Here is a 19,234-nt window from a genome sequence, read left to right as displayed (position 1 = left end):
TCCCTGCAGCCTTGAACTCCTGGGCTCAAGTGATCCTCCTGCCACAGTCTACTGCCTCAGCCACTTGAATAGCCAGGACTATAGGTGCATGCCACTGCGCCTGGCTATTTTTTAATTTTTTGTAGACATGGGGTCTCATTATGTTGCCCCACCTGGTTTCGAACTCCTGGCCTCAAGCTATCCTCCCACCCTAGCTCCCAAAGTGCTGGGATTACAGCTGTGAGCCATGGTGCCTGGCCTAAATTGTTATAAATATAGTAAGAAAGCTTTGGACTTCTCATTTCCCCACATCCTAAATACTAAAGCAACATAATAAAAATGTTTCTAAAGAGTCACAAAACATTGTAAGAGTTTTAGGAAGGCTTAGTAAATTTTTATTCATAATTATAAAGTTTCTTAGATGTTTATAAATAGCCATTTTAAACTATGAATTTTCAGGTATTATTGAATATCCAAGTTAAGACAGTGAATACTGCCTCAAATGTCGACAGAGTTTACATTTATTTGTTTCTTCTGTCATGATCATAGATACGTTTATATGTTTCAACAGCTCTTAAAGCATCAGTAGATAAATTCAGATAAATATAACAAAAAATTCCATGTCTTGGCCTCTCTGGGGTAGATTTTCTCAGGTTTCTGACGGTGAATCTTAAGGTTGGTTGCATTTGCTCCTGGGCCTGATAGCATCTAGATTCAAGTTACAGAATCAACACAGTTGTAGATCATTCAGAGATGACTAAGTTCTATGAAGTAAACTATGGAAAAGAAGAGTCGTATATACGTGGTTGTGTCATGATGACTTTCTTGAACTTTGCTTTTATGTCCTTGGTAAGTCAAATCCAATTTATATATGATATTTTCTTTTAGATATGAGAGAAAGGGATATCATCATATGTAAATATTAGTTATACTAGTATATATATTCATATTTCTCATCTCTATAAAATAAAATATAAGGAAGGCACTTTACAAGTTGTTACATTTTCTATAGGAGAAGAACACGTGCAGTTCACACTATGGCTGTTTTAGTCATCACTTTTCATTTATGGAATTGGAAAGCTTCGTGTTACTCTCACTGATGGTGATGGGATGGGATGGGATGGTGTCATTCTGTTTATATATAATTAAGTACAAAAGATTATACTACAACATTGTCAGAAAATGTGATTACAACAAGTTATTAAAAATCATTATAATCTCTCAGAGAAGAAAGTGATTGATTTTCCTTTTTTTTGATATGGCTTGTGAACTTATATGTAACCCCCATTTTTTATTTCTGATGAAAAATATCACAAGTATGTAGTTATTTATATTTTCCAACCATCCAGTGATTTGTAGTTTATTTCACGTGTTGTCATTGGTAACTCTGCAAAGTAGTGGGTTTATTAGCACAGATCAGTTAACATGGTACTCCAGTTCTTGATTACATGACTCATGTTCTTCCACAAACGCTTAGCTTTTGATGCTTAAAACATATATAGTAAGAATGAAAATAAAAATAAACTGATTTTGGAAACTGTATTTAATAGTTAGACAAAGAGATTTTAAACCTCTGGTTAAAAGTAGCGATTTCTAGCATTTTAGCACTCTTTTTGTGACCAAATAAAAATGTTCTGTATGCAAAATATTATTATCTGTGTCTTAATAATCACAGAATCATTTTGGAATGATTTTATTTTTCAGTAATGTAAAAGAAATACTAGACGTGGTCTCTTATTGTCAAGAAATTTATATTTAGTTAAGAAGTTAAGTCCTTCACGTGTGTCCAGCTATCAGTGGAAGGCAGAAGAGAGTTAATGTTAAGTTGAATGGACAGGAACAAAACAATTTATTGAGCATTCTCTCTGTGTAAGAATTATCCATATCTCATTTAATCCTAACATTATCCTAAATCATCTCATTTTAAAAACATAAGGGAGGCAAGTTTGAAAAGGTCAAGAAACCCATGTATGGTTGGTAAGTGAAGCTGAGATTTGAAGAAAGATCTATTGACTCCAAACCTGTCTTCCTTATTTCTGTCGTATTCTGATTTCCTAACAGGAAAAGAGCATAGAAAAGTTCTGAGAAAAGAGAGATCAGTGGGCTTATTGCTCTTGAGAGGACCTCTCAGACAGACTAGAAGTTGAGCTGAGTCTGGAAGGACTTAGTATTTGGAAATAAGGGGGTCATCTTCGGTGGCAGGAGTATGGCAGGCACACTTGCGTCTCAACGTCTTTATGCAGGCTGATCCCTCTGCTTGGAGTTTTCTTCCTGGATGGCTGCTTTGCTTATTTTTGCTTACCTTCTCCAGGAGACTGCCGCAACCACCCTTTTTTTATACTGCGTCCTGCTCCCTATCCTCTTCCCACATTGCCTTCCAATTCCCCTTATCCTGGTCTGCATTCTCCCAACCAAGCATTTCCAACTCGCTGTATGATATAGTTATTTATCAAGTTTATTGACAGTCACCTGCATTTAGAATACAGCTTCATGAAGACAAGGATTATTGTATCTTTTTTATTCTCCAAGATATTGTAAGCATAAAGAACTCTGACAGGCACTTAGTAGGTGCTCAGTAAATATTTGAAGATAAAAGGATTTTGAGTTAATAGTGAGCAAAACATATTTGAGAGTCTAGTGAAACCAGCCTTATTTGAGTGAAAAGAGTCTTATATATTGTAGATTCCAGCTGGATAAATAGAGTCAAACCAGATTAGAGCAAAGGAATTTATTATTTTGTAAGAATGAGAGTTTTCTACAAGATTTTATTTTAAATAACAATGTATTAATTTAATGATGTAAAAGTAATATCCTTGTAACACTTTGTTGCATTTAAAAAAATACTCGAGTGTTTTTAGTTTTACCTGGTAAAATTGACTTAATAGGGAAATTAGCTATCTTGCATATTAAAAAAGTCCCTAAGTAAGGCAGGTTTCAAGGTTGGCTGATTAATTTGGCTAGAAATGTCTCTGAAGACTCAATTTCTCATTTCTTTCCCTTCCTCTTTTTCTCCTTCCTGTCCCTTTCTCTCTCCCTTTCCCCTCCACCCCCTCTCCTTCTCTCTCTTTCCCCTCCTGTCTCCCCTCTGTCTTCCTTGCTGTGTTGTTGTTGATTTCAGGTTGATGCCTCTTGTTATTACAGGGTGGCTGCCACCACTGGCTAGGTCTGAGAAGCTTTCTTGTTTGTGATTCTCTCAAAACCACGAAATTTAAGTCATTTTCTTCAGTCTGATTGGAGACATTTATTCGGTGTCTGGCATGAAGTAGACTTTTGGTAAATACTTGTGGATGAATTGTTAAAATTGCATAATTGTTAGAGATGCTAGAAATGGCTGGTGGGAGGCTGAATGTGCTGCTTCAACTCCTAAGATACGGATATATATTAAAAAGATGAGTGGTTTATGAATGTTCATAGAAATACTTATCTCCCATAAAGAGAAGATACGTGTGCTTCACTTAGAAATATTAAAATAACTACAGCCTGAAAGGCAAATTGAGATGGATAGTGTTGAAGGATAGAGGTGCAGTGAAGTCAGTCACAAAGTTCTCCATAGTATCAGTGTGTGACTTAAATTTCTTTTCCCATCCTGTGGAATGAGCACAGAAAGCAGGCTACTTACTCATGGAAGATTTAGTAAAAATGACCCTATGTTAAACCTCAAGGAAATTATCAGTCAATTAAAGTAGAAATTGTTCAAAATGCATTCTCAGTAACTTTGTAGCTAGTTCATATGAAAATCACAATTTAGAATTTGGAATGCAAAATGTGGTTTTCAATATTAATTTCTAATATAGGCATTAAATGATCACCTTTCTTTATTCTGGATTTCTTCTTTATTAAATAAATAAATAAATATATATATATATATATATGCACACACCATGGAATACTACTATGTTTGTTGTGTGTATTACACACACACACACCCCCCCCCACATTTTCTTTATCCACTCATTCATTGATGGACATTTGGGCTGGTTCCATATTTTTGCAACTGTAAATGGTGCTGCTATAAACATGCATGTGCAAGTATCTTTTTTCTATAATGACCTCTTTTCTTCTGGGTAAATACCCAGGAATGGGATTGCTGGATCAAATGGTAGATCTACTTTTAGTTCTTTAAGGAATCGCCACACTGTTTTCCATAGAGGTCATACTAGTTTAAATTGCCACCAACAGTGTAAGAGTATTCCCTTTCCACCACATCCACTCCAACATCAGTGATTTTTTAATTTTTTTGTTATGGCCATTCTTGCAGGAGTAAGGTGGCATCTCATTGTGGTTTTGATTTGCAGTTCCTTGGTAATTAGTGATGTTGAGTATTTTTTCATACGTTTTTTGGCCATTTGTATATCTTCTTTTGAGAATTGTCTATTCATGTCCTTAGCCCACTTACTGATGGGATTGTTTTTTTTTTTCTTGCTTATTTGAGTTCCCTGTAGATTCTGGATATTAGTCCTTTCTCAGATATATAGATTGCAAAGATTTCTCTCACTCTGTGTGTTGTCTGTTTATTCTGCTGATTATTTCTTTTGCTATGCAGAAGCTTATTAGTTTAAGGAAGTCCCATCTATCTTTGCTTTTGTGGCATTTTTGCTTTTGGGTTCTTGGTCATGAAGTCTTTGCCTAAGCCAGTGTCTAGTAGGGTTTTTCCAATGTTATCTTCTAGAATTTTATGGTTTCAGGTCTTAGATTTAAGTCTTTGATCCATCTTGAGTTGATTTTTGTATAAGATGAGAGATGAGGATCCAGTTTCATTCTTCTACAATTATCCCAGCACTGTTTGTTGAATAGGGTGTTCTTTCCCCACTTTATATTTTTGTTTCTGTGTCAAAAATCACTTGACAGTAAGTATTTCGCCTTATTTCTTGGTTCTCTATTCTGTTTGCATTGGTCTATATGCCTATTTTTATACCAGTACCATGCTGTTTTGAGGACTTTGGCCTTATAGTATAGTTTGAAGTTGGATAATGTGATGCCTCCGGATTTGTTCTTTTTGCTTAGCCTTTCTTTGGCTATGCAGGCTCTTTTTTGGTTCCATAGGAATTTTAGGATTATTTTTTTCTAGTTCTGTGAAGAATGATGGTGGTATTTTGATGGGAAGTGCATTGAATTTGTAGATTACTTTTGGCAGTCTGGTCATTTTCACAGTATTGATTCTACCCATCCATGAGCATGGGATGTGTTTCCATTTGTTTATATTGTCTGTGATTTCTTTCAGCAGTGTTTTCTAGTTTTCTGTGTAGCAGTCTTTCACCTCCATGGTTAAGTGTATTCCTAAGTATTTTATTTTTTTGCAGCTATTATAAAAGGGGCTGAGTTCTTGATTCAAGTCTCAGCTTGGTCGCTGTTGGTGTATAGCAGGGCTACTTATTTGTGTACATTAATTTTGTATCCTGAAACTTTGCTGAATTCGTTTACCAGTTTTAGGAGCTTTTTGGATGAGTCTTTAGGGTTTTCTAGGTATATGATCATGTCATCACCAAACAGTGACAGTTTGACTTCTTCTTTACCAGTTTAGATGCTCTTTCTTTCTCTTGTTTGATTGCTGTGGCTAGGACTTCCAGTACTATGTTGAATAGAACTGGTGAAAGTGGGCATCCTTGTCTTGTTCCAGTTCTCAGAAGGAATGCTTTCAGTTTTTCACATTCAATATAATGTTGGCTGTGGGTTTGTCATAGATGGCTTTTATTACCTTAAGGTATGTCCCTTTTATGCCAATTTTGCTGAGGGTTTTAATCATAATGGGATGCTGGATTTTGTCAAATGCTTTTTCTGCATCTATTGAGTTGATCATGTGATTTTTGTTTTTGATTCTGTTTATGTGGTGTATCACATTTATTGACTTGTGAATGTTAAACCATCCCTGCTATGAAACCCACTTGATCATGGAGGATTATCTTTTTAACATGATGTTGGATTTGGTTAGCTAGGACTTTTGCATCTATGTTCACCAGGGATATTTGTCTATAGTTTTATTTTTTGGTTGTTATGTTTTTTCCTGGGTTTGCTATCTGGGTGATACTGGCTTCACAGAATGATTTAGGGAGAATTCCCTCTTTCTCTATCTTGTGGAATAGTGTCAACAGGATTGGTACCAATTCTTCTTTGAATGTCTGAAAGAATTCAGCCATGAATCCATTTGGTCCTGGACTTTTTTCTTGGTAACTTTTTAATTACCATTTCAATCTCGCTGCTTGTTATTAGTCTGTTCAGAGTTTCTGTTTATTCCTGGTTTTATCTTAGAGGGTTGTATGTTTCCAGGAATTTATCCATCTCCTCTAGATTTCCCAGTTTATGTGCATAAGGGTGTTCATAGTAGCCTTGAATCATCCTTTGTATTTGTGTGGTGTTGTTTGTAATAGCTCCCGTTTGTTTCTTATTGAGCTTATTTGGATCTTCTCTCTTCTTTTCTTGGTTAATCTTGCTAATGATCTCTCAATTTTATGGATGTTTTCAAAGAACCACCTTTTTGTTTCATTTATCTTTGTATTTGTTTTTTTGTTTCGATTTCATTTAGTTCTGCTCTGATCTTGCTTATTTCTTTTCTTCTGCTGGGTTTGGGTTTGTTTTGTTCTTTTTTCTTTAGCTCCTTGAGGTGTGACCTTAGATTGTCTACCTGTGCTCTTTCAGACTTTTGATGTAGGCACTTAATGCTGTGGACTTTTCTCTTAGTACCACTTTTGCTGTATCCTAGAGGTTTTGATAGATCATGTCACTATTATAGTGTAGTTCAAACCCAATGATCATTCATTAGCAGGTAATTTAACTTCTCTGTATTTGTCTGATTTTGAGGGTCCCTTTTGGAGTTGATTTCCAATTTTATTCCATTATGGTCTGAGAGAGTCCTTGCTATGATTTTGATTTTCTTAAATTTGTTGAGATTTGTTTGGTGGCCTATCTGATGGTCTGTCTTGGAGACAGTTCCATGTGCTGATGAATAGAATGTATATTCTGCAATTGTTGGCTAGGATGTTGTGTAAATATCTGTTAAATCCATTTGTTGTAGGATGTAGTTTAAGTCCATTGTTTCTTTGTTGACTTTCTGTCTTGATGACCTGTTTAGTGCTGTCAGTGGAGTATTGAAGTCCCCCACTATTACTGTGTTGCTGTCTATCTCATTTCTTAGGTCTTTTATAAATTTGGGCGCTCCAGTGTTAGGTGCATATATATTTAGGATTGTGATATTTTTCTGTTGGACTAGTTCTTTTATTATTATATAATGTCCCTCTTTGTCTTTCTTAACTGCTGTTGCTTTAAAGTTTGTCCTGTCTGATGTAAAAATAGCTACTCCTGCCACTTGCTTTTAGTGTCCATTTGCACATAATATCTTTTTCCACCCCTTTACTCTAAGTTTATGTGAGTCCTTATGAGTCAGGTGAGTCTCTTGAAGAGAGCAGATACTTGGTTTGTGAATTTATTTTGTAATTTTTTGGAGACTGGGTCTTGCTCTGTGCCCCAGGCTGGAGTTCAGTGGTGTGATCTTGGCTCACTGCGGCCTCTACTTCCCAGGTTCAAGGAATTCTTATGCCTCAGCCTCTCGAGTAGCTGAGATTACAGGTATATGCCACCACACTCAGCTAATATGTGTATTTTTAGTAGACGTGGGGTTTCCCCATGTTGGCCAGGCTGGTCTTGAACTCCTGTCCTCAAATGATCCACCTGCCTTGGTGTCCCCAACTGGCATGAACCACCACGTCCAGCCTTGGTTGGTGAATTCTTACCTATTCTGCCATTCTGTGTCTTTTAAGTGGAACATTTAGGCCATTTGCATTCAATGTTAGTATTGAGATATGAGGTACTATTGTATTCGCCCTGCTATTTATTTAATACCTTGGGTTTTTTTCATTGTGTTGTTGTTTTATAGGTCCTGTGAGGATTAGGCTTTAGAGAGGTTCTATTTTGGTGTATTTTGAAGATTTGTTTCAAGATTTAGAGTTTCTTTTATTAACAGCAGTTCTCATAGTGCTGGCTTGGTAGTGGCGAATTCTCTTGGCATTTGTTTGTCTGAAAAAGTCTCTATCTTTCCTTTGTTTTTGAAGCTTAGTTTCACTGGATACAAAATTCTTGGCTGATAATTGTTTTGTTTAAGGAGGATAAAGATAGAATCACAATCCCTTCTGACCTGTAGGGTTTCTGCTGAGAAGTCTGCTGTTAGTCTGACAAGTTTTTCTTTATAGGTTACCTGCTGCTCTTGCCTCACAGCTCTTACGATTCTTTCCTTCATCTTGACTGTAGATAATCCGATGACTCTGTGCCTAGGCAATGATCTTTTTGCAATGAATGTCTCAGGTGTTCTTTGACCTTCTTGTATTTGGATGTCTAGATCTCTAGCAAGGCTAGGTAAGTTTTCCTCAATTGTTCCCTCAAATATGTTTTCCAAACTTTTAGATTTATTTTCTTCCTCAGGAACACCAATTATTCTTAGGTTTGGTTGTTTAACGTAATTTTAAACTTCTTGGAGGCTTTGTTCATTTATTAAATTCTTTTTTCTTTGCATTTGTTAGATTGGGTTAATTTGAAAGCTTTCTCTTTGAGCTCTGGAGTTCTTCTATTTGTTTGATTCTATTGCTGAGACTTTCCAGTGCATTTTGCAATTCTCTAAGTGTCTCCTTCATTTCCGGAAGTTGTGATTGTTTTTTATTTATGCTGTCTATTTCACTAGAGATTTTTCCATTGATATCCTGTGTCATTTTTTTTGATTTCTTTAAGTTGGATTTCACCTTTCTCTGGTGCCTCCTTAATTAGCTTAATAGTCGACCTGAATTCTTTTTCTGGCAATTCAGAGATTTCATCTTGGTTTAGATCCATTGCTGGTGAGCTAGTATGATCTTTTGGGGTGTTAAAGAACCTTGTTTTGTCATATTACCAGAATTGTTTCTCTGGTTCCTTCTCATTTGGGTAGACTGTTGTCAGAGGGAAGGTCTGGGACTCAAGGGCTGCTGTTCAGATTCTTTTATCCCATGGGGTGCTCCCTTGATGTGATTTTCTTCCCCTTCCCCTAGGAATGGGGCTTCCTGAGAGTCGAACTGCAACAATTATTATTTATCTTCTGAATGTAACCACACAGCAGAACTACCAGGTTCCAACTTGTCTCTGGGGAGTGTCTGCAGAGAGTCCCATGATGTGATCCATCTTTAGGTCTTTCAGCTGTGGATACCAGCACCTGCTCCAGTGGAGGTAGCAGGGAGTGAAATGGACTCTGTGAGGGTCCTTGGTTGTGTTTTTGTTTAGTGCACTGGTTTTGTGTTGGTTGTCCTCCAGCCAGGAGGTGGCACTGTCAAGAGTGCATCAGCTGAGGTTGTATAGTGAGAAGACAAGCTCGCCCTAGGGTCGCCTTTGGGTAAATATTCAGGTTTCTACAGCGATGGGCAGGGTGGGCTTTGTCTTTGGTTACCAGGGCAGGTAGAGAAAGACCATCAGGTGGAGGCAGGGTTGGGCATGTCTGATCTCAGACTCCCCTTGGGCAGGGGTTGCTGTGACTGCTGTGCGGGATGGGAGTGTGGTTCCTAGACCAATGGAGTTACGTTCCCAGGGGGCCTCTGCTGTGACATATAGGTCACCAGAAAAGTGGGGTAAAGCCGGCAGCCACAGGCCTCACCCAGCTCCCGTGGAGCCTGCAGCTCACACCCACCATGCCCCGCAACACACTGAGTTTATTTCCAGACAGGTGGTGAGCAGGGCTGAGAACTTGCCCCAGGGTACAAGCCTCCATCTGAGAAAGCAAGTGAACCCACAGTTCCTCGGCTGTCTCATGGAGCCTGCAGCTGCAATCCACCTCCTACAAAGGGTCTGTGGATTCTCTAGGCTTGCCTGGGATGTTCCTTTGGTAGTTCTTGGAGCAAAAGTTCACGATGTGGCTTTACACAGGCTGCTCTGTCCACCGAGTGGGAGCTGCAAGTTAGGCCTGCCTCCTATCCACCATTTTCCCAGATTTTGATTTATAAAGTATTTAAAATTAATTTCTTCCCTTGAAGGCTATCCTATTAAGTACTTGCTGTGAACGCTGTGCTTACTATAAAATCCCCTTAGCGCATTTATTTTTCCCATAAACTATCCTTGCTAAGGCTTTTAAAAGGTATTAAAATGAGGTTTGGATCAAAGATGCTTTATCTTTCTCTAAAAACTAAATTTCTCTTTAACAAGCATAGACATTTATTTTCTGAAATTATTTCATCTATTTGTTTCCTAATTTATTCATCCCACTGGTATGCAAGTTTATTGAGGTCAGAGATAAGTTCCTGGCACACAGTGGTTCCTCAGTAAATATTTGTTGAATAAAAACACATGTTTATAAAAATCCTATGCTGCATAAAAATTAATGTCCTCTGGAACTTTTTTTTTTTTTTTTTTTTTTTTTGCCAATTTGTTCCTCATCAGTGCCTCAAAATTTGGTATTCCTGGCAATTTTCTTCTTTTCCATGTTCCTCTAACTTTTTATTTCAAAGAGAGCTTCATTGCTGATCTGAGTGAAATGCTGTTCTGGTACTTCACCGCTGAGTGTGTGCTGCAAGTGTGCAGGGAAAAGGGAACATTCTACACCATGTGTTCTTAACCTGAAATTCCTGTAAGATCTGCAAGGAATCATGAACTGCATCAGTGGGAGGGGGCAGTATTCTCTCTGTGTTACCTTGAAAATGGTCTTTGTGCTGGGGGAGGGACACTCTTTTTCAGTAACAATTTATATTGTTAACTTATTTCACTTTGAACTTGTAAGGTGGCAGAAGTTAGGCACCTTGCCCAATGTAATATCACTAGTGACTGCAGGTTTGGGCTTCAAACCTTAGTCCATGCTCTAAACCAGCGGTTCCCAACCTTTTGGCACCAGGGACCAGTTTTGTGGAAGACAGATGTTTCACAGACTGGTCGGAGGAGTGGTTTCAGGATGATTCAAGCATGTTACATTTATTGTGTTATTTGTATTATTATTATGTTGTAATATATAATGAAATAATGGTACAACTCACCATGATGTAGAATTAGTGGAAGCCCTGAGCTTTTTTCCCTGCAACTAGACAGTCCCGTCTGGGGTGACGGGAGACAGTGACACCTGAAGTGTGTCACTTATGTCCAGGCTACTCTGTAATCTCATTTTAGTCGCTGTCACTGCAGAAAACCCTGCTTCACAAAGACAGGTTGTTGGACACGGAAGCAGGCTTTTCAGTGCTTTTGTGGCAACCTCAGGATATTCTACCTGGACTTTCATCCAGAACATATGGAGATTTGAAGTTGTCTCAAACATATTTTTAAAGCCACTGTCATTTGCCATCTCAAGCAGTTGATCCTCTTCTAGCACAGAGAGTCAGTTTACCGGGCTTATTCACAAATGCGTCGCGGATCCATTCCTTCCCAGTTGGGGGTTCTTTTGTGGTTGGTAGTATTGGGTAGGTGATCACGTGTCAGCCGTGGGAAAGAAGGCCCTGGCTCCATCTCTTTCACAATCTCTGCTAATGTTTGAAACATGTCAGAAATCCCAGTGTTCACTCGTCACCCTCGTAATTCCACTTTGGCTTTGAATGCAGCTGCTTTATCTGCCGACTTGAACACAGCTGTCATTCTCCCCTGAAGTGACAGATTGATTTCATTGAACAGGTTAAATAGGTCACACAAGTAAGCAAGTTTTGCAGCCCATTCTATGTCACTGAAATGTGCTGCCAATGGTGACTTTTTTTCTAAAAGACATCTCTGGGGTGGTTTCCAAAACTCTGGCCAGCAATCTACCTTTAGAAAGCATCTCACTTCCGTGTATGAGATGTGTGTGCTCTGCGTCCATCTCCTCACAGAGCTGTGCGAACAGACGTGAGTTAAGGGCACGTACTTTAATGTGGTTGATACTTTTAATCACATTCTGCTGAACGTTGTTCACGTGACATTTTTCAGCTCGCCAGCCTTTCTCTATGGATGACACAGTGCACAGACTCACATTCAGAAGCGACCTAAGGAGCTCCAGCCACACAATTGTTTAGTATGTAGTACTTATATACAGAAGCGACCTGTTTGACCTGAGTAGTGAAACCAGAAAGCCATCCAGTCGTGGCAGCTGCTCTGTCCATGTGTATACCAACACAAAATGACCAATTTAGTTTTTCTGATATGTAATCATTCACAGACTAGAATAGTTCTGCAGCTGTGGTGTTCGTTGGCAACAAAAGTGCACATAACATATCCTCATGCACATCCCCCCGAAAAATATATCACACATTAACAAGCATTGTTGCCTTGCTGTCAACATTGATAGACTCGTCAACCTGGATTGTGTGCCATTGGTGATTCATTAATCCCCTTTTACAGTTGTGTCTCAGTATCCTCTGCTATTTCATTAATTCCTCTAGTTACGTTGCTAGCCGAAAGAGGAACACCTGCCACCTTTCGAACTGCAGCCTCTCCTAAAAGTTGACAACAAATGTCCTTAGCAGCAGGCAGGATCAACTCTTCACCAACAGTAAAGGGCCTGTTAGCTTCAGCAACGCAGTTAGCCACTAAGAGTGATGCTCTCCGCCGGGCGCGGTAGCTCACGCCTGTAATCCCTGCACTTTGGGAGGCTGAGGAGGGTGGATCATCTGAAGTCAGGAGTTCGAGACCAGCCTGGCCAACATGATGAAACCCTGTCTCTACTAAAAATACAAAAAATTAGTCAGGCATGGTGGCGGGCGCCTGCAGTCCCAGCTACTCAGGAGGCTGAGGCAGGAGTATTGCTTGAACCCGGAAGGCAGAGGTTGCAGTGAGCTGAGATCACGCCATTGCACTCCAGCCTGGGCAACAAGAGTGAAAATCCATCTCAAAAAAAAAAAAAAAGGATGCTGTCAGTGTAGACACATTTGATGAAGTTGGTGGCCTTCAATAATTGCCTGTGTTCTTGGTGTACACATTTTTTAATTTTTTTGAAAACTCCAAAGACTTGTCTTTTTTTTTTTTTTTTTTTGAGACAGAGTCTCACTCTGTCACCCAGGCTGGAGTGCAGTCATGTGACCTTGGCTCACTGCAACCTCTGCCTCCTGGGTTCAAGTGATTCTCCTGCCTCAGCCTCCAGAGTAGCTGGGATTACAGGCATGTACCACCATGCCCGGCTAATTTTTTGTATTTTTAGTAGAGACGGGGCTTCACTGTGTTAGCCGGGATGGTCTCGATCTGACCTCGTGATCCATCCGCCTCGGCCTCTCAAAGTGCTAGGATTACAGGCGTGAGCCACCGCGTCCAGCCAGGCTTGTCTTTTAATGCAGGGTGCTTGGTCTCCGTGTGGTAATGCAGTTTTGAAGGTTTCATGGCTTCCTTGGATAGCTGGTCACCACATATACACAGTGGACTTGAAGAATGTGCATCACCTGTTGCAATGAACCCATAATTTAAGTAGGACTTGTTATTTTCTATTAAATGCAGCTTTCTTTTCATTGGCAGTCTTGGAGTCTTCTGCTTTCTCATGATGAGGTCTTCCCCCTTTTCAAAGAAGCTCTACAGTGATGTTTGTCTTTTACTCATCTTGGCTAGGGTTGGCTTGTGGGCTTCCCAAAACTGTGACTGAGACAAGTGCATAGTGTGGGAAAGAGGTGCAGATGGAAGTGGTAAATAAAATAATAGGCAAGTCACACGTGGACTAAATAAGTGTCAGATTCTGAGTTAAAGCTGCCACCAGATGCAGCTGTGCAATTGAAGCACTCAGCTCACTTGCCACTGTAAAGCCTGCCACCAGCCAGATGCAGCTTGTCACTTGCCCCTCACTGATAGAGTTTTGATATGAGTGTGCAAGCAGTTAATTTCCTGTGGTCTCTGTGCTGTCAAACCTCTCTGCTAATGTTAATCTGTATTTGCAGCCACTCCCCAGCGCTAGCATCACCACCTCAGCTCCATCTCAGATCATCGGGCACTAGATTCTCATAAGGAGCACACAGCCTAGATCCCAAGCAAGCAAGTGCAGTTCGCAGTAGGGTTTGCGCTCTATGAGAATCTAATGCCACTGCTGACCTGACAGGAGGCGGAGCTCAGGCAGTAACGCAGTGACAGAGAGCAGTTGTGAATACGGATGAAGCTTCGCCCGCTTGCCGCCGCTCACCTCCTGCTGTGTGGCCCAGTTCCGGCCTCCTGCTCTAAGCCACTGTCTATCATATGTGTTCCCACAGTGCAACTCTACTCTAGAAGAGAAAGTAAAGTTTCTGTCTTCAACATGCTTAAATTTTTCTTGGGCAAGAGAGTTCAACTAAATGAAAATTCCAACTATAAGAAATAGGAGGCAATGTTCCCTTACACAGGAAATCCCACTGTGTTCCTTAATTTTCTCAGTTAAGTAGAATACTATAGTTCTTAAATATACTAGACTTAACATTGATTTAACTAAAATTGAGTGTTAAGTTGGAGACATTGATTTTCTAAATCAGCTCCTAAGGGGAAAAGCCAGAAATCAGCCATAGGTAAATTTTTTTCTTTCAAATACTTTAAATTGCCCATAAAGCAAAAAATTATTGATTTTATAAACACATGTCACAGGCTATCTTATGCACACTCAAGTTTGAGAAGTACTAACTAAGCAAGACTAAGAGAAAAAGCCAAAGGAACATTTATTTACAGATGTCTGGACATTCACACTGTCCTTGAACTAATTTTCAGATCTGTAGTGGTGACTAGCAGAGGGTAGAAAATTCCATAATGTCATAGCTAGGTGACTCTATGCGGTCTTGATATTAAACCTGTTCACACATTGCTCCTTTTAATTATATACCTTTTAATTGTTTGACTTTTTCAAACATTCTCATTAAATATTTTAGATCAAAACTTTAAAAAATTAAAAGCACATATGCCTCTGTAACTTTAGAATCTGTTAATAAATTTGTTGTAATGATTAAATAGTCTCATCTTCAGAGAGGCTTAGGAGAGGATTAGGAGTTGAAGAGTAAATGAAATATTTCTATGGTGCCACTTCAATGTAGAAGATAAGATATTTTCCCTATGACAATTGTTACATGTGTTACATTCTTAGGGAAGTCAGAGGCCGTACTCTAACCATTATGCAACAATGATAAGAAAATATATGAGCAAGTGTGTATTAATACAGTAATACAAAAACTAGGTACTGTTGATTTGAATACCTGCTGTCCTATAGCATTGAGCTACATTCCATTTTTGGTATGTTAAGTTCATTCTGATGGTGACAGACAACAGGGTTTGATTGCTCAAGAAGACACAGGAACCAAAATGATAGTGCTTGCAGATCTGAAGTTTATTACAGGAAAAAGACAGCAAGGAGCCTGTTGATGCCAGGCTGAGCTCCAGTGGCCCCTCCTCTTAGGGACACACACTTTCTCACAGATCAGAATCAATGACCTGTGTGTGCAACACTCAGAACTGGTGGACCAAGAGGAGGTATCTGCCAGCTTGTTTTATACCCTGTTGGTCACACAGGCATCTTCTTGCCTGTAGCCAGCCCCAGTGGGAGAGCCTTCCAGGGATTCTCACCTAGACCCTGTGCAAACCACCCCAGTCTCACTTTACCAATCACCAATGCTGACAAGCTGGTATAAACAACCCCACAACTCCTCAGACACACGGAACAAAGCAGCACTATTATTAATGACTATGTTTCATGCCTTGACCAGAGTGCCATGCAGGTACATTTCTTATTTCAACAGAACAGCTCACACCAGCTCCAGGTCTGCTGGAACTAACCTTCGAAGCACGAGTGTTAAAGGTCATTTGGGATATTCATGTGGGTTGTATTGTGTAGAATATTGAAGTGTTATAAACCCCACTTTAGGTATGTGTAGTTGAATATACCCCAGTGTAGCTATTCTTGCAGGCATATCATATCCATTTTAGAACCTCTAGAAAGGTAAGGCGGTGGTGGTATTTCATTTTCCCTGTGAAATTAATGTATACTTCTTAACTCGTAATATGTTATGTTCAACCTTTACAGTTTAAAAAATCAAATTCATAGATTTCGTAAGAGGAAGCATTGCAAAAAAACCCTTCAAGTTTATTGAAAGCAAATGACATGTTTTGTATTTTAAAACCTACTCAGTCGCTAATTGTGTTTTTCCCTCTTCCTTCTCTATCCCCAGATGAATCAGCTCCTAAGGAAGTCAGCAGGGTAAGTGATGTGAATATTATTTCTACTACTGCAGTATAGGAAATGAATCTGTTTTGTTTATCTCTCAGTACTCTAACACATTAAAGTATCAGAAAGATTATGGCAAAAACTGAGTTTCCTCTCCAAAGTATCACTCATTAATATGGAATAAAGTCAGTAGAGAGGGTGCAAATTGAAGGCCTCAAGACTGAGTACGGCACACAGATGCATTTTGTTCGGCTGCACGTGCCTATGGGGTTTTCTGAGTCAGTTGCCAACATTTAGAAATTGAGACACTGTATGTAAAGATTGGATTTCTGGCTTCCCTTGAACCAGAAGGTAAGATAACTCTCACAGGGCAGCAGTCTTCCCAGGGTGGGAAGCGGAAGCTGCCTTCAGCTGCATGATGCTCTCCAGGCAGCCCCAGTCCTCCATGTAGCTGGCTTTACTCATGTCCGCTACCTGCCCAACCTCTGCCTTTGAGTTCATGCACTTTCTTTTTGGGAGAACAAAAGATGACAACTCGTGTTGAAAGCAAGATATTGCTTAGAAATTTTATAAATATTAAAGGTACTGTTTTCATGGCCTAGTTAAGAGTCTTAGCAAGCTTAAAAACTATGGCAGGTGAGTACTGAAAGCATTTAGTATACTGGTTATGCTATAAAATTATAAGTGATTAATTACATTTGGAAAAAAGTGTCTTAGTTTTTTCTGTATTACACAGATAAAGATCTTAAGTGTGGATGAAATATTGAAAATAATCAGTTTGAATGGAACTTAATGCAACCTTAGAGATCAGTTTTTATTGTAAGACATAAATTGAAAAACTTAATAGAATCACATATGCAGATATATTCCTTTATTTTTGATCATCTGAAGAAAGAAATCTCTAAAATGACCTGGGCCAGCGCTGGGGGTTGGGGGTGTGGAGATAGGGGAGGGAAGAATTCCTTGTGTCCATAGCAATGTAGGATTCTCTTGAGGTCTCTGTGAGTCTCAGGGTTTCACTGGGTGCCTTCGCTATTAATGTCACATTTGTGGAACTCACAATTGAAGAGTTCCTTGGTCTGGACGCTTAAAAGGTACCAGGAAGTGACAGAGGGGTGGACCTAGAATTTTGGCAGCTGCTAGGAGCAGCAGAAAATGCTGAAAAGTGATGCTTGAGGATAAGATGGGGACTCTGAAAAGTGAACTTTGGCAGAGTCATAAAATATTACAGTGTTGATATTGGCAAAGCTGCCATGTGTTCAGACAGTGTCATTGACAATACCACATACTGTTTTATAAGGCCATTAGAAAAAATGATGAAACTTTATGTAGTGATTTTTCTTCGCTATTATTCATAAGATTCTCTTACATTATGCCAAATTTGGAGAAAAGCGCATCTCTGAGAAATACTAAAGGTATGAGCTGATAACCTAGAAATGGTATCAGTTGCCAAGATCTCTATAACGTTTTTTTGAAAAAACGTACCCCGTATCTTGATCAATACTTATTTGACTAATACTCAGAGTTTCCTTATGAAATAGTATGCCACTATTTTCAATAAAGATTCAGATTTAGAAATTCCTCGGGCAACCTTTTGGTAGGTGGTGACTGGCCAGAGGGCTTCTGCTCTAACACATCCCTGACAGAAGGCATGCTCTTTAGTTCCACTAAAGGTGCTGGTTACACTCTCAGGCAGTTCTGTTTTGTTTTGGTTTTGTTTTTTCTTTCCCCTTTCTCTTTCTCATATACTTTTTTTTTTTAATTGAGGCAAAGCCTCAGTTCATCACCCAGGCTGAAGTACAGTGGTACAGTCAGCTCACTTCAGCCTTGACTGCCCGAGTTCAGATGATCCTCCCACCTCAGCCTCCTAAATAGCTGGGACTACAGGCCTGTGCCACCATGCCCAGCTAATTTTTTTTTTAAATAGAGATGGGATTTTTCCATGTTGCCCAAGCTAGTGTTGAACTCCTGGGCTCAAGTGATCTTCCTACCTCAGCCTCCCAAGGTGCTGGGATTACAGGTTTGAGCCACTGAGCCCAGCCTAGGCAGTTCTAATTATGATGAAGTACTTTCTCATTTAGAACCAAGCAGCCTCCCAAAATGGCCATTCTCCAGTATTTGTTTTGACTTTTATTTCGTATCCAAACCCTTTGAGTATAGGGATTATGTTATGTCTTTTCTAGTAAAACATCTTAGTTTCTAAACTTTATTTTCCATATGCCTCCTTAAGATGTGGGTTGACAGTCTTTGGACAAACTATATATTATTAATATATCTTTAAAACATTGCAGCCTTAACACTACAGACTAATTGCGTCTTGACCCTGGTAAAATGAGGTGGGACAGATACCTGTCTTAGTTTGAAACCTATGTATCTGTCAGTACGGTTTTAATGGAGAATTAGTTTTTTAAAGAAGCTACATTCCATTTCTGGTTATTGAGCTTTGAGTAAACTATCATTATTTTTTCATGAAGTCAGACCTGTAGGTTTTATGTCTCTTCCCCTTCCCTTTTCTCTATTTTCCTTTCCTCTCTTTGTTTCCCTGTCTTCTTACCTATCATTCAATGACCAATATTTTTTTAGCATTTCTGTTTTAGGCATTGTTCTAAGGTGCTGTGGATACAATGGTGAGCAAAATCGACAGTATTCAGGTTCTCATAGTATAGAGGGGAGTTGTGGAAACAGTTCAGAAAATTTATGGATGTGTATATGTGTGTTTGTGTACATCTATCAGGCAGTGATAAATACTATGATGAATACATGGAAGAATAAAGCAGAATAAGGGGCTTCAGAGTGATGGTGGTTCAGAGGGTGCTTATTGGCTTATTGCACATATGCAGTGGTCAGGAGAGGTTAATTTCATAAGTGAAATTTGAGCGGGAATCTGAAGGGAATGAGAGAATCAGCAGAAGGAGGAGACAGGAACTGCAGAGGCCCTGAGGTAGGCCATTGTGACAGGTGCAGAGTGAGTCATGCGGAGACCAGTAAGAAATAAGGTTGGAATGGAATTGGGGGTATTTAGGTCTTCTAGCTGTCGAATTGAGAGTATACACAGTAAGAGTGGAAACAGGTAGACCCAGTGGTAGTCTAGGAGTGTAGGCAGGGGAGGATGATGGCTAGGATTAGGGTTGTAATGGTGAACTAGGATCAGAGGTTGGGTGTAGAAGAAGAAAGAGCAGACAGGCTTTGTTTATGGGAGGGTAAACCAAAAAG

At 39.4% G+C, this 19,234-nt stretch overlaps 1 protein-coding gene across 13 annotated transcripts in view; it reads left to right on the top strand.

The window, feature by feature from the left end:
• Nucleotides 1–19,234, top strand: part of PDE10A (phosphodiesterase 10A) — a 660,764-nt gene that overhangs the window by 489,684 nt on the left and 151,846 nt on the right. For all 13 annotated transcript variants that reach the window (XM_011535387.4, XM_017010194.3, NM_001385079.1 and 10 more), the window contains one exon: nt 16,026–16,054. In XM_011535387.4, the coding sequence (XP_011533689.2) occupies nt 16,026–16,054 (29 nt within the window). Of the gene's footprint in view, nt 1–16,025; nt 16,055–19,234 lie in introns of those variants that run through there.

This window comes from Homo sapiens, chromosome 6, assembly GCF_000001405.40.
Source record: "Homo sapiens chromosome 6, GRCh38.p14 Primary Assembly".
NCBI classification, from domain to species: Eukaryota; Metazoa; Chordata; class Mammalia; order Primates; family Hominidae; genus Homo; species Homo sapiens.
This window is presented reverse-complemented; position numbering and strand designations above follow the sequence as displayed.